Here is a 16,591-nt window from a genome sequence, read left to right as displayed (position 1 = left end):
GCTGGCATCTTACCCAGGGCACATACTTCCCTCACACTTCCAGATGGCCCCGGTGGGCTCCACTCTGGTCTCAGGGCATTTCACCCTCTTTCTTACCTAGACTCCCAGGGCCAGCACGGATGTGAGGTGCTGTGAACTCAGGCCTCCTGAGGTTGACCTGAGTGCTTGCAGCATTGGTCCCACAGCCACGACTGGGCTGGAGCAAAAGGTCAATCGGCCCCAGAGACACACAACGGGGAGAATGCAGCATGGCTCCTCAGAAGAGCCTGCGGTGGGCACCGCTGTGCTGAGGACCCTGAGTCCTGCAGGACTGATCTCCACCAGGCCCAGGGCGGGAGTCACCCCTGCTGCCCCAGCCACCACGGGAGGAGGGACACATGTCTTCCATCTGAAGTCACCCCTCAGTTGCCTGCATGGCAGGGAGGAGAGGAATCGAGGTCCTGGAGACTCCAGGAGGTTGTGGCTTTGAAATAAGCAACTTGCCTCCTCCTGGGACCTGCCCCCCTGGGTTGTGCAGCACTTAAATACTGAAAGGATCACTGGGGTTTTTTTATTCAATATGTCCAGAGAAAAGAAGTAGATTAAGAATTAGCCATGGGCAGACAACAAAGCCTGGGGACAAAGCAGGCTGTCAAATGGGAGGTGGCCAGTCCCTCCAGGGTAGGACTCAGGATTCACTGTTTCCCATCTGCTCCTGAAGCAGCACCTGGGGGCTCTCGGAGAGACCTGGCCTCCCCTTCTGCTGCCAGAGCCCGAAGGCACAGCTGGGAACATGCTGCCAGCGACCCTTCCCCCAGGTCCTGCATGGAGTGGGAGAAGCTTGGGCAGGGGTTGCCTTGGGCTCCAGCAGGCCCACAGTAGGCCCCGGTCTAATTCAGTTTATACCCATATCGGGCACATTTTAAGCTCTGTATGCCCATATAGGGCACATTTTAATCTCTTTTCCTGTGGTGAGGGAGCTCACAGGTTTCCTGAGGAGACTAGCTCTCCACTGAAATCCCATCTAAGCGTCTGAGCTTCACTCACCGCCAGGGAGCAGAAGTCGTCTTGCCACAGCCTCCCCTTGGAGGGAGCCTGACGGAATTGTGGTTTTGTTATCATTACGGCCACAATTATCGAGCACTAGCCACGTGACAGAGATTCGTTTGCTAACACTCACTCTCACACTGAAAGAAAGGAGTTATTCTTCCCATTTTACAGAGGAGGAAACTGAGTCTTAGGGGTGTTAACTGCGTGGCCAGTGGTCAAAGAGCCAAGGGGGATGGAGACCGGATGTGTGGCCAATGTGCAACTCCAGAAGCAGAACCCACGCCACCGGGGGCTTCCTGGGTCTTGAACAACAGCGGAGAACACCACATCACGGAGGTAGGATTTAACAAGACCTGTCTATGAAAAGGAAGAGTCGAGCTATTGATCTGTTCTTCAAGTAAATATCCACCCACAGTTACAATAGAGAGAGTTTATCTTCATGCTTTTTTAAAAAATCCAGCTTTAAACAACAACTAACAGATTTAACTGAGGGTAGTAACCGAGGGCAAATGTGTTGTTCGCAGGGAATGCAGCTGCAGGAGCATTTTGGTGTGTTCATGTTCAAGGGTTTGGTTTTCTTCTTTTCTTTTTCAAAGCAAAAGTAGCTTCCAATTTTTCATCTTAGTGCGTCCAGTGTATCAGTCCCTCTTGTGCCTGCTAGTGCTCAGCAAAGTTTCAATGCAGCTGCCCTGGCCCTCAGGGATCCGCAGACTCTGGCTGGATGATGGTGAGGGAGACCTCAGGCCAGACAGCAGCAGTAACTTCTCCCCAGGTGCTTCTGCACTGGCTGCTTGGACTCAGTGGTGTCAGCTCTAATTGACTCTTTATGTGGTGTGGTGCTGGTGTGTGTGTGTGTGTGTGTGTGTGTGTGTGAGACAGAGACAGAGAGAGACAGAGACAGAGAGAGCATATGCAAAGGACTTTCTTCTCTTTTGAATGACCCAGGTGAGGGAGCTTCCACAGCACACCTGGTGACCTCAGCTGAGGTCAGGTGAGGAGCTGCTTCTCTTCTGTCCCATGAGCCTCTCTCTGGGTGTGTTGCCAACCTCATCTTTTTTGTGATCACAAATGGAATGTCTACGTTTCTGCCACCTGTCCGACTGCAATTTAATCCTCAAAAGGTATTTCCCGAGATTGCTTGTGCCCAATTCCTGAGCCTCCCTGGTCACAGAGCAGCACCTGGGTATAGTAGTTGGCATGATATGACCACAGAATGCCAGCATTGGGAGTTACATTGGAGATGATAATCCCACACCTGCCCTGAATCCTGAAAAAGGTTTGCTCGTGGGAAAACTAGGGCGAGACGTGTACAGCGGATCTGCCGGTCATGCCTTGCCCTTCTTCCATCCAGCAGGGGGCCCCTTCTCAGGAGCCTGACAGTGACAGACGCAGAGCTGGACAGGTGAGTTTTCCGCACTGCGGAGCTGTCGAGACGCAAGGCTGGCGGGGAGCTTGGGACACACGGGAGGACCCTACTCCCACCTTGTGTGAGCTGCCGAAGCCTGGGAGCAGAGAGAAGGGTGGAGCAACACTCTACCCTCCCGCACAGAGATATACTTAACGTGTGTTCCCATAGCTACACTCACAAAATGCCACAGAGCCTTCCAAAACCCATCTGTTTGAAATACATCCAGGGTTTACACTGAAAATACCAAAATCCTTAAAGAGACTTCAGCCTCAGAAGGGACTGGTGATTTGTAAGTTTGCATCCAGCATGAGATCTGGACGCCACGTTCCCATCTCGGGGGAGACTTTATAAGTTGCCCCTAAACCCCCTGCTCTGAGCTGACTGAGCAGTCAGCCAGTCATGCTCCTCAGGCCCCCTGAGGCCAAAGTGCCAACAAACTGGATTCAGGCCCACACTTATCCTCATGTCCTGCCTCTGTGCTCATCCTGTCTCACAGACAGCGCGGCCTCTCCCCAGGTGCAGAGATTGCTTTTCTCCATTTGCTTTTCATCACCCTACCCCACACTCCAGGTGGCACCCAGCCTGTGCAGGCCCTGTTGACGCCCAATAAATGCCCGTGCCCAGCCGGCCAATGGTCCAACCATGTGTAACCCCCATCTCCCCCACTCTCAGTCCATCTGCATCTGTCTCCCGCCTGCAGGATCACAGCTCACACGAGGCAGCTTGGTCCCTCGGGGCTCACACAGGAGCTTGCCTGTGTGGACAGCAGCACCAGCACCGGCCTGCGGGGGCTTTGGCAGCCCCCATCCGGGGTTGGGTATGGTCATGTGGGAAGGAAGGACGGGGGCAGGAGGCCAAGAAGGACGGGCACATCAGGGGCAATAGGGAAAACGTTGAGCCTCCAAGTCATGGCCTCAGGCCCTCCTCCAGCTCTCATGGCCCCACATGGCCTCCCTGGGATCTGAAAGCCTGGCATCCAACAGACAATGCTGTTCTCAGCTCTCAAATCTCCCCGGTCCAATCTCAGAAGTCAGCTCTGAGGCTCGGAGTTTATAATCTAATCATTCCAGCCAGCACGGAAGCAAAGCAACATCCCTGAGTACATTCCTATTTGTGTATTTACCTGTGAGGGATGCAGAAAGCACGAGGGTTAACGCCCCGTCTCCGCTCGGGCCACACTTAGTCATGCCATCTTAGCCACGAGGTGCCTTCCTGTCTGCTCTGGCACCCACTCTGACTCTCAGGGCTGATCTGGAAGAGGATTCCAGGGGCCCCTATCAATGCCTGGGGTGAGCAAAGCATCCCCTCCAGATAGGCAGGATCACAGGAAGCACCTGCAGGGCCCCCAGCAGAGGCAGGGCCCAGACTCAGGAGTGTGGCCACAGTGCAGTTGCCACTGATTCAAAAAAAACGATAGAATCTCTGTAAAAAGTAATACCTCCTAGCCTCAGCCCAGACCTGCTTCAATCACATTGTCTTATCTGCCAGGACCGGTGTCCCAGTGAAGCAAAGCCAGAGACTGCTGCCAGGTGACAGTGCTGTTCACCACCACAAGGTAGCGAGACCGCTGCTGCCTCCCACCAGAAAACCCATCCCCTGTGCAGCTGCGGAGGCTGACTTTCTTCCTAGCCTTGCTGAACACTTGTAAATCAACAGCAAGGATTTGATGATCTGCTCACATTTGACTTATGCCAGGACCGTGTATCTAGTGAAGCTGGAGGAAGCAGTCAGTGTGCGTCACCGTGCCACAAAATGTCTCACCAAATCCTCATAACCACCTAACACACCCTTATGCTACATAGGGAAATGCAGACTCCCGGTGTGAGGGAACTTACGCAGTCTCTCAGCTAGTGGGAAGCAGGGCTGTGAATGGAACTCGGTTCTCTCTAAAAGGCAGAGCGTTTCCTCTCCACACCTTGGCTCACTTTGTGATTTATCAATGAGACACAATCATATCTTAAAATAGTAATTTGTGCTGTATTCTAACTTTTTTTCCTCCCCATCCCACTCACCTATTCAGGCAGAGTCAGGCCCTTTTCTAGCTACCATTCAATGGCTGGTTTTTTTCTCAAGATAAAAAGCAAAAGAAGGCTGTCATTAATTACTATTCCTGTCCATTGTAAAAGATGCCACCAATTTAAAAAATGCTGCTAAGTACCTAGGTCAGGGAGAAAGAGGGGGAGATGTGGAGAACAGGTGGTGGCTGAGAAGACAGATTGGGAGGAGAGACATGGAGGCATGCAGCTGGAACAGCCGGTCTCAACCCGGGGGAGATGTCTAAGGAAGATGGGTGGAGAGCAGAGGCATGCTGCCTACAGCATCAGTTCTATAAAGGCATCCACAATAATAATGGGAGACTTTAACACCCCACTGTCAACATTAGACAGATCAATGAGACAGAAAGTTAACAAGGATATCCAGGAATTGAACTCAGCTCTGCACCAAGCAGACCTAATAGTCATCTACAGAACTCTCCTCCCCAAATCAACAGAATATACATTCTTCTCAGCACCACACCGCACTTATTCCAAAATTGACCACATAGTTGGAAGTAAAGCACTCCTCAGCAAATGTAAAAGAACAGAAATTATAACAAACTGTCTCTCAGACCACAGTGCAATCAAACTAGAACTCAGGATTAAGAAATTCACTCAAAACCGTTCAACTACATGGAAACTGAACAACCTGCTCCTGAATGACTACTGGGTACATAACGAAATGAAGGCAGAAATAAAGATGTTCTTTGAAACCAGTGAGAACAAAGACACAACATAACATACCAGAATCTCTGGAACACATTTAAAGCAGTGTGCAGAGGGAAATTTATAGCACTAAATGCCCACAAGAGAAAGCAGGAAAGGTCTAAAATTGACACCCTAACATCACAATTAAAAGAACTAGAGAAGCAAGAGCAAACACATTCAAAAGGTAGCAGAAGGCAGGAAATAACTAAGATCAGAGCAGAACGGAAGGAGATAGAGACACAAAAAACCCTTCAAAAAATCAATGAATCCAGGAGCTGGTTTTTTGAAAAGATCAACAAAATTGATAGACCGCTACCAAGAGTAATAAAGAAGAACAGAGAGAAGAATCAAATAGACGAAATAAACATGATAAAAGGGGATATCACCACCGATCCCACAGAAATACAAACTACCACCAGAGAATACTGTAAACACCTCTACGCAAATAAACTAGAAAATCTAGAAGAAATGGATAAATTCCTGGACACATACACCCTCCCAAGACTAAACCAGGAAGAAGCTGAATCTCTGAATAGACCAATAACAGGCTCTGAAATTGGGGCAATAATTAATAGCCTACCAACCAAAAAAGTCCAGGACCAGACAGATTCACAGCCAAATTCTACCAGAGGTACAAGGAGGAGCTGGTACCATTCCTTCTGAAACTATTCCAATCAATAGAAAAAGAGGGACTCCTCCCTAACTCATTTTATGAGGCCAGCATCATCCTGATACCAAAGCTGGGCAGAGACACAACAAAAAAAGAGAATTTTAGACTAATATCCCTGATGAACATCGATGCAAAAATCCTCAATAAAATACTGGCAAACCGAATCCAGCAGCACATCAAAAAGCTTATCCACCATGATCAAGTGGGCTTCATCCCTCGGATGAAAGGATGGTTCAACATATGCAAATCAATAAACATAATCCAGCATATAAACAGAACCAAAGACAAAAACCACATGATTATCTCAAAAGATACAGAAAAGGCCTTTGACAAAATTCAACAGCCCTTCATGCTAAAAACTCTCAATAAATTAGGTATTGATGGGATGTATCTCAAAATAATAAGAGCTATCCATGACAAACCCACAGCCAATATCATACTGAATGGGCAAAAACTGGAAGCATTCCCTTTGAAAACTGGCAGAAGACAGGGATGCCTCTCTCACCACTCCTATTCAACATAGTGTTGGAAGTTCTGGCCAGGGCAATCAGGCAGGAGAAAGAAATAAAGGGTATTCAATTAGGAAAAGAGGAAGTCAAATTGTCCCTGTTTGCAGATGACATGATTGTATATTTAGAAAACCCCATCGTCTCAGCCCAAAATCTCCTTAAGCTGATAAGCAACTTCAGCAAAGTCTCAGGATACAAAATCAATTGCAAAAATCACAAGCATTCTTATACACAAATAACAGACAAACAGAGAGCCAAATCATGAGTGAACTCCCATTCACAATTGCTTCAAAGAGAATAAAATACCTAGGAATCCAACTTACAAGGGATGCGAAGGACCTCTTCAAGAAGAACTACAAACCACTGCTCAATGAAATAAAAGAGGACACAAACAAATAGAAGAACATTCCATGCTCATGGATAGGAAGAATCAATATCATGAAAATGGCCATACTGTCCAAGGTAATGTATAGATTCAATGCCATCCCCATCAAGCTACCAATGACTTTCTTCACAGAATTGGAAAAAACTACTTTAAAGTTCATATGGAACCAAAAAAGAGCCTGCATTGCCAAGTCAATCCTAAGCCAAAAGAACAAAGCTGGAGGCATCATGCTACCTTGCTTCAAACTATACTACAAGGCTACAGTAACCAAAACAGCATGGTACTGGTACCAAAACAGAGATATAGACCAATGGAACAGAACGGAACTCTCAGAAATAATACCACACATCTACAACCATCTGATCTTTGAGAAACCTGACAAAACCAAGAAATGGGGAAAAGATTCCTTATTTAATAAATGGTGCTGGGAAAACTGGCTAGCCATATGTAGAAAGCTGAAACTGGATCCCTTCCTTACACCTTATACAAAAATTAATCCAAGATCGTTTAAAGACTTAAATGTTAGACCTAAAACCATAAAAACTCTAGAAGAAAACCTAGGCAATACCATTCAGGACATAGGCATGGGCAAGGACTTCATGTCTAAAACACCAAAAGCAATGGCAACAAAAGCCAAAATTGACAAATGGGATCTAATTAAACTAAGGAGCTTCTGCACAGCAAAAGAAACTACCATCGGAGTGAACAGGCAACCTACAGAGTGGGAGAAAATTTTTGCAATCTACTCATCTGACAAAGGGCGAATATCCAGAATCTACAAAGAACTCAAACAAATTTACAAGAAAAAAACAATCCCATCAAAAAGGGGGCAAAGGATATGAACAGACACTTCTCAAAAGAAGACATTTATGCAGCCAAAACACACATGAGAAAATGCTCATCATTACTGGCAATCAGAGAAATGCAAATCAAACCGCAATGAGATACCATCTCACACCAGTTAGAATGGCAGTTGTTAAAAAGTCAAGAAACAACAGCTGCTGGAAAGGATGTGGAGAAATAGGAACACTTTTACACTGTTGGTGGGACTGTAAACTAGTTCAACCATTGTGGAAGACAGTGTGGCAATTCCTCAAGGATCTAGAACTAGAAATACCATTTGACCCAGCCATCCCATTACTGGGTATATACCCAAAGGATTATAAATCATGCTGCTATAAAGACACATGCATATGTATGTTCATTGCTGCACTATTCACAATAGCAAAGACTTGCAACCAACCCAAATGTCCATCAATGATAGACTGGATTAAGAAAATGTGGCATATATGCAGCATGGAATACTATGCAGCCATAAAAAAGGATGAGTTCATGTCCTTTGTAGGGACATGGATGAAGCTGGAAACCATCATTCTCAGCAAACTATCACAAGGACAAAAAACCAAACACCGCATGTTCTCACTCACAGGTGGGAATTGAACAATGAGAACACTTGGACACAGGAAGGGGAACATCACACACCGGGGCCTTTCTTGTGGTTGGGGGAGGGGGGAGGGATAGCATTAGGAGATATACCTAATGTAAATGATGTGTTAATGGGTGCAACACACCAACATGGCACATGTATACATATGTAACAAACCTGCACATTGTGTACATGTACCCTAGAACTTAAAGTATAATAAATAAATAAATAAATAAATAAATAAATAAATAAATAAAATAAAAATAAATAAATAAAGACACCCAAAGCCCTCAGCACTGAACGGCTGCAAGGACTGAGATGTGGGCTATTTCTGCAGAGACCAGTACCAACAGATAACCAGTGGCTGGAAGGCCCCCCAGGGCTTTGGCAAGACATACCCCGTGGGAACTTTACCTCATTGAGAAGAGCCATGAAAATGAATGAGGTTGGAATTTCAGCCAGCCCAGTAGAATGGAACTAATCGCAAAAGTTCAGGTGATTAAAAAAAAATGTTGAGTTTCTTGTTACCTTAGTGCAAGGTTTATATCTGCTTATTTAATCCTGATGGAAGCACCTTGCATAAGTGAGCCAGCCCAGCCTGTACCCTTCTGGAGCACCTGGACTCTGTTTTGGTTATCTTCCCTTACCAGAATCTAAAGGCATCAGGCAGGTTGCCTCTTTTCCATCCAGATGTGCTGGCTCCATGCCTCTTGCCCTCTGTGCTGAGCTGGATAGACGGGGAAACCACGGTGTGAGGAGAGCTGTGCCTGGGCTCGCAGGAGGGTGGGGAGGCAATGTGAGGTGGGTTGAGGTGTAGCATAAGCAGCCCTTCAGATCTACCTAATGCCTGGCAAGAAACGGGCATCACCAGGACACAAATGGCACAGACATACCAGCGGGCATTTGCTTTGAAACAAAGCTACAGCATTGTGATTTCCATAGCAAGGAATCTAGGACACTAGGCTGGAATCATAGTATGCTGTGGTCAAGATCAGGAGGAGGGGTAACACTCTGTTAACTTTCATCAAAGTTTACCCAGTCACCTCAGAGTGTCTGCCCATGTCCTACAGAGCTCCAGGAAGGACAGACACATAACTTCACTCCAGAATTACTTCTAGTATATAGTAACCCTACTATGGTAGGTTGTACAACCCTACTGTTGCTCTTTCTGAAGTCTGGCTGAAATCAGGGTATGGTTGCAACGTTGTCTGCTGTCAGGAATTCAGCACAACCATGGAAATATATAAATCAAATGTGGTGGATACACATTTAGGAAAACTACCCCATCGTCAGAGCTGATGAACCAGACGTACCCTCAGCAACATGAGCGATGGGGTAAAAAGGAAAAAATAAGAAAAGGCAAAACATGATCCAAAGGGCAGCAGCCCTGAGGACCACTAACAACAAACAAATGGAGACAGGCGTCAGCAAGATGGCGGACTAGGAAGCTCCAGGTCCTTGAGCTTTCACAGAAACACCAAATAAACCACTGGAGATGGGCTAAAAGAACTTTATGGGAGCTCTGGAAATCATGAGACACTTTTGATTTAAAGACACATAAGTTGAAAGTGAAAGTATAAAAAAGGATAGTTTATACGAATAATAACCAAAAGAGAGCAGGGGTATCAATACTCATGTCAGGCAAAATAAACTTCGAGTCAAAAACGGATACAAAACACGAAGGATAAGAGGCATCATATGCCCAGATGATCAATTCGCCAAGAAGATAAACACTTACAAATATTCCTGTACCGAACATCAGAGTTCCTAGTCATGTAAAGCACACACTGGCATCATTAATGGGAGGAATAGACAGCTCTGCAATAGGAATAGGAGGCTCCAATGCATGCATATATATATCACTCATAGTTGTTCTCAACCAGAGAAAAATGCTTCTAAGAGTATCAAGGGTGTCTGCCTATAGAAAGCTATCTCTCAGTCCAAGCCAGAAAAGTTCTTGAGGAAATTTGTGTGCCTTTGCTAATAGAAAGCAAGATATTTATATAAAATAACATAGAATCCCACAAAGTTTTCAAGATAATTGTACTGGTAGATGCACCATCCACTTGAACTAAAATAAACAAAGAGAGACTGTTTGAGATGAAGAGTCCTCCAGGTACACAGCCTTTTCTGGACAGAACAAAAGCTAAGAAAACTGCCCAGCTGCAGACACAGGTCATTTCTCACAAAGGGAAGGATGATCAGAGGCAGGAAGCAGAGCCAGGAGCCACGCTCATTCCCAGGCAGCATAACTGAACCCTCACTAAGGAATGGGCAGAATGGGCCTGACTGGATTTCAGAACTGCTGTGATCCCTGCCTTCTCCTGCTTTTTGAACTGGAGTGTCTATTGTAGATTTACAGAGAACAACTGCAGATTTACTGTATCTGCCCCACCACTGTCTGCTGGGTGTGAAGGGGGCAGAAAATGTGTCTCTTTAGGACATGAGTCTTCAGAGTGAGAGCAACATCATATGAGGAAGTACATCCAGGAGCCTCACCTGCTCCTGAACCTGATTTAGATAATGATTTCTGGATTAGGATAGTGATATCCTACATTTTAGGTAATGATATCTAACCATTGTTATTGCAGTGCCAGACATAAGTGAAGCCACCTCAGACCCTCCAGACTGGCCTCTCTGGCCCCTAAGAACCAGCAAATGACCTCAGTTAGCACTACAAGGAATAGAAGAATCACCCAGCTGAACCCTGCATGAATTCCTAACCCACAAAATTATGAACTATAATAAATTGGTTGTTTTAAGCCACTACATTTTGGGGTAGTTTGTTACACAGCCGGGGAAACTCAGAACACAAGGCTTACGTGTGCACTACATGTCTGCAAACTAATTTCATCCTGCCTCATAATATACCTGTTCCTACCTGTGTTCCATTACTGGAAAGTAGCGTCTTCAAAAGAATCACTGTTGTCCTAATCGTGTCTGTTTCCTTCACAGCTTTGAGCACCGTCTCTGGACAGTGGCAGGTATCCAATGTGGAAAATGAGGACCACAGCCCAGGTATGTTTCTTTTTATCATTTCTTCCACAAGCAAATTTTAGTTCTCTCTATAATTCTAAGTACTGTGTGGCAGCCTAGGCACATCCTTCCTTCACAGAGAAGGAAGTGAAAAATTACAGAGCAGAGTCGCCAGTGTTGTTTGTGGGGATTTAACCCCAGTAGGGGAAGGTAAAGGAGTGAGGACATGTTTCCTAGAGAGCCACATGATCTGAGCCTTGAAGGATGATGGGGGATAAAAGGGTGCAGGGTGGGAGAGGAACAGTTTGTAAAGAGGGAACAGCACACACAGTGGCAGAGAGGTGCCAGCGAGCATCTTCTCCTTGGAGGTGTCAAATGGACCATGATCCTTCACTGGAGCCTGTGGCATCTGGGGAAGGTTGGCAGGGGATGGTACAGGAAAGGTCAATGGGACTCTGCTTTCCATACTCAGGATTTTATATTAAAGACAACAGAAACCCGTTCTAAGGTTTTGAGCAGAAGGTAGAGAAGAGCTGAAGAATGTTTGAAAAAGCTCACCCCAGCAGACACAGCAAGAGCTGAAGCCGTGACAGCTGCACAAGCAGGACTCTCAGAGGGTTTGACTCAGACAGCGACAGGGCAGAGGCACTGATAAAGCCCAGCTGGCAGGAGTTGGTGTGCAGTCATGAGAAGGGAGCTTCCAGAACTAACCCCAGGTTACTTTCTGGGGGAAAAGAGAGGGACTAGAGAAAGAAGAGAAGATGGGAGATGGGAGGTGAGACACAGGGCCAAGGTGGGGGCATATGCTGGAGACGGGGCATAATGTGCTTACAGTTGGAAACCGAGAGGAACAATAATCCCATCTCAGATAACTTGCATTTAGGTTTTCTGCAGAGCATCCATCTGGAGATGAGCAGCAGGCTACTGGAGTTTACAAAAAGCTTTGAGGCTATAGATTATGATTCAGGAGATAGTGGGGCATTGGTGGTGACTGCACCTGAGGTTTTGGAGGAGAACACTCACGGAGAATGCAGAATGGAACAAAAGAGACCTGGGGGGATGCATCGGGAAAAAGCACTGGAAATTACGGAGAAAGCAACATCACACAGGACGGGGAAGAGAGACAACATTTCATAAATTGGATACAGTCACAGGCTTCAAACTCCATAGTAAAGCTGAGTATATTCAAGTGGATTTGGCAAATAAAAACAAATATATACTTTGAAAAAGGCAATGCCAATTGCGTAGTGTGGAGAAAAACAGTTTGCAACAAAGACAATCAGCAAAACTAGTCTTTGGAGGAGAGCACATTTTGGAGACGGCCATGGGACCGCAGGCAAATGATCTGGCTGAGAGTGCATGGGCTGGGAAAGCCTGGGCCATCCCTCCAGAGAAATGCCACGAGGGATCCACGTTCTCATTGAGGAGGGGGTGACAGGCAGACAGAGAGGGGACCAGAGGAGAAAGGAAGGGGGTAGATTATTGCTTATTTTGTTTGTATTTATTTTACTTAGTGACAGAGTAACTTTCTGGAGCAGACAGTTGAAATGTTGAGAGAGACTGCAGCAGAGGAGTAAGGGGACGACCTCAGGAAATCCGCAGATGGAAGCCTCTGAGGCAGACAGGACCAGGACGTCTCCTACAAGGGCACAACTGATGTCAGCAGCAAGGAGCTCCGAGGCCAGTGCCTCCCCATTCAAACCTGGAAGACATCAGGTCAAAAAATGAGCTGGGAGTACTTTCCTTAGAAATCAACTTTTCCCCAGTTGATTTGATTTTAGGGCAATCAAATCACCATGAATGTTCCACAATTCACTGCACTCTTTAACTTTTATAAAACACAATATTATGAAATTTAGTAGCAGAGGTTCTAGGATCAAATTGCTCATGGTCAAATCCTGATTCTCAGAAGTTTCTATAGAAGGCAATGAGATCTGTTCTAAGTTTGGAGCAAGGGATAGAGAAGAGCTAATTAATGTTTCAGAAAGTTCACCCCCGCAGCCATGGCTAGAGCCAATATATGTTATTTTCCGTAAACTTCCTTGTTTATAAAATAAATAATGTGCCTATCTCAAAGAGTTTTTGGAGTATCAAATGAGATAATGACCAAAAAGCACTTAGAATAATGCCAGATCTAGCCTGAGCATTTTGTAACTGTTGCTGCTCACAATTATTAGTACTTATTAATTAATAGTTATTCCCCACTGGGCCTCCATAAGCTTTATTAAGCATTCACCTGTGAACAGTAAGGGATGGAAGCTGTTGAGGACATAAAGCAAGCCAGAATGTCCCCTGGCACGATGGGAGCTGCCAGCTGGCTTCCCTGCCCATGATTCTGACTCCAGCTGCCCTCTCCATTCTGCTGATCTGACTCCCACACAGTCAAAGCAAACCAATAGGAGAGTGACAATGCTAACAATTTCTCTAGGTAGTAAGGAAATCTTTTTGTTCCTTGATGTCTCTTGTACTCAGAGTAAACAAAATCATTCTCCTAAATATGGACTTTCAATCACTCTCAGAAATATTATTTTACTTTATTCTTAAAACAAACTTGTCAAGGAGGTAAAACAAATACACTACCCTGTTGATAAGTTTCAGAAGAGCTGGAGGACATGGTAAGAATCCCACCTTATTCATCCTTGGTGGCTGCCCCAAGGAATATCCATGGTCCCAAAGCAAAGCAAAGTGTCTTCCGGGTGCAGGAAAATCACCATGAGATCATCAGAAATTCTCCACAGAGCAACTTATTTTGGTAACTAAAAAAGGTATTTCCTTAATACTGTCAAGGAAGTTGAGCTTGGAAAGGGAGGGTAGAGGAGAAAAGAAGGTAGAGAAAGTAGACAGGGGAAACTACTACATCCTCTCCCACTTCCTCTCTCCTCCTTCTCTCCAGCATTCAGAGCCCAGGCAGAGCCCTGGCCTGCGCAGCCCCCAAGCTTCCTGAGGGTAAAAACGAAAGGGGCTCAGGCCAAACGCGCCACTGCAGGGTCAGCCCCGCTCCAGGTGGAGGGAGCAGCGAGGTTCTGCAGCCATTGAATCCTTCTGATGAGGTGCTCAGACAGGTGGACACTTTAATGAGCCTGCTGGAATTTGTGGCTGACGCCAGGGCAGAGGGAGAGAGAATGACTAGAGGCCCCTGCCTCTCTAACTGTGCACATGGCCAGAGGGGCAGCTGGTTCAACTAGACCATAAACCTGTCATGGGAATAAGTGGCTCCTTGGGGACGGGATGTGAGAGGCACGTTATGGGGGAAGAAAGGTTGCAGAGCTGCAGAGAGGGAATGTCTAGCTTTGCCAGGCCCCACAGAAGGCTCACATTGGCTCAGCAAGACATTGACCTCCACTGCCTCCAACACTTGACCTGTACTGCTAAGAGCAGAGTTCGTTGATGTATTCTCAGTCTCAAGATGGCTCTCCAGGAAAAAAATCCCCTTGCCTCCCTGGAGAATCGACTCTAGCTCTTAAGTGGCAGAACTCCCTGCCAAATGAATACATCCAGAAATAGAGATTGCATTCAGAGCAGATGAAATATTACCCCAACTCTTGGTGTTAACACCTTTATGCACATCCAGATTTGTGACTTGAAGTTTATGTGCCATGGAAGGAGTATATTGCCAAAACTTGCTTTTATTAACCCCACTCTGCACATGGGGTGAATCCAGCTTCCGTCCTAATTCAAGGGAATGTGACAGGTATGCACAGCATAGCATGTAGAACTTAATGTTGAAGGTGGGTAGTGTGAGGTAGTGACATGAGCACTGGGCAGGAGTCCAGTTGGGCCTCCTGTGCTGGGTCCCACACTCACGTGCAACTTCAGACAGCTATGCAGCCTCCAATAGAAAATGTGGTGTTTTCACCCAAGGGCACAAAACTGCTGTGAGCAGGAACAACATAGCTGCACACAACCGTGTGAATAAATTTCACAAACATGACGTTGAAGGAAAGAAACCAGATATAAACACATACTGTGACACTCAATTTAGCTAATGTACAAAGCTGGCAAAACCAATATATGTTAGACACACTGTATGTGTTACCGGGGAGGAGTCCGACAGCAGAAGCGCTCCGGGAGCTCCCAGGGTGCTGCCGCTTTTGGTTTCTCCATTTGAGTGCTGATGCTATGGCTGTGGTTGGTTTATGAAAGTTTACCAAACTGTGTGTCTAATGTGTGCACTTTTCTATAATTATAACATACTTCAATAAAAACTCAAAAAGTGAAGGATGAATTGATAACTTCTGGGGTTTCATTCAGTTTCAGCAGCCTGTCATTCTAGTCTGTCAATCATCCCAGCTTCCAGTTTCTCTTCTTTTCCTTGTTGCCTCCCTTTGGCTTCTCTCATCAGTATAAAGAGAGGTGGAATGGGCAGACTGGGTGGGGGCGCCACTTTCACTTGCTCCCTGCAAGCACCTTTCACTCCAGGCCCCTTAGGAACGTCTGATGTGACCGGCAGGGCTCCCTTCAGGCAGTGCCAGACTCAGGGAATGGTACTGCAGCCAGCCTGGCACGCCTCCTCCGCCCTTGTCACTCACTCACAACAGACAAACGCCCGGCTTCTTCGCCTTAGGTGGAGTGCTAGGTTTCCTGACCACCATCAGAAAGAAAGGAAAGTGTGAACATCTGTTGACACCTACCAAAGGGTAGAATAGCAGTAACGGGCAGCAGATTTAAGAGAGAAAGCAAAAGGATAAGGCAGCCTCGGGTGGAGGGGCAGAGTGGGGTGGCGGGGTCCTGACGTGGGGAAGAACCGGCCTAGTGGGCCGCGAGGAGCCGGCCAGGGCGGGGCTGCGGAAGGGCGGGCAGCCTAGGCTCAGCGTGTCTGAAGGATGACCCCTCCCCGAGGTGTCTGTGGAGGAGGAGAAGAGGCCACTCGGGGCGCAGACAGAGCACGTGACGATGCCCAATTCTCCCCGACTCAGAAGAGCCCGCTCTCAGGGCGGAAACAGAGGAGGCTGCGCACGCAACCCCCTGATGGGCCAGTAGGCAGGGCGCTGCTGTCCGCAACAGCGTAAGAGCGTGCGTGCGTGCGTGCGTGCGTGCGTGCGTGCGTGCGTGCGTGCGTGGTATCTCACTAAAGGCAGCCATAGTCGTACCCAGCCTCTGCTTTCCCTGTACAGCCTCTTTTGTACTTCATGTTTATTGAGCTTAATACTCGTTTGGTGATAACTTCAGGAAACCCTCTCAAACAATAAATTGTAAATGTGGCCAGGTTGCCATCTCATTTTAGAAATATACTTTTCCCATTTGGGATTAATTGCCTAAACGTCCTTACAAGGTAAAAAGGGAACTGTCTCTTGAACATTAGTTATTAAATTATGTATCACCAATTCATTTGCTGCACTGATTTGAGCTTTGTGACATTTCTTATTGATTGTTTGAAAGCAAACTTCCAATTATCAAAGGATCAGATACTGTCTGCTTAAAATCCCTCTTAGAGTAGCAGAGAG

At 46.5% G+C, this 16,591-nt stretch overlaps 1 long non-coding RNA gene across 2 annotated transcripts; it reads right to left on the bottom strand.

Annotated features, from left to right (window-relative positions):
* Nucleotides 1-12,629: 12,629 nt before the first annotated feature.
* LINC02706 (long intergenic non-protein coding RNA 2706) lies at nucleotides 12,630-16,130 on the bottom strand. 2 transcript variants are annotated; one of them, NR_183642.1, is made up of 2 exons: nucleotides 13,776-16,130; nucleotides 12,630-12,849 (listed from the first exon to the last, which is right to left on the bottom strand). It is a non-coding gene; the product is annotated as a long intergenic non-protein coding RNA 2706 (long non-coding RNA). The 2 variants fall into 2 exon arrangements; NR_183643.1 differs by having other exon boundaries at nucleotides 15,779-16,130.
* Between the last annotated feature and the right edge of the window lie 461 nt (nucleotides 16,131-16,591).

Source organism: Homo sapiens, chromosome 11 (assembly GCF_000001405.40).
Source record: "Homo sapiens chromosome 11, GRCh38.p14 Primary Assembly".
Taxonomy (NCBI): Eukaryota; Metazoa; Chordata; class Mammalia; order Primates; family Hominidae; genus Homo; species Homo sapiens.
The sequence above is the reverse complement of the archived record's forward strand: the minus strand, read 5'-3'. Positions and strand labels throughout refer to the sequence as shown.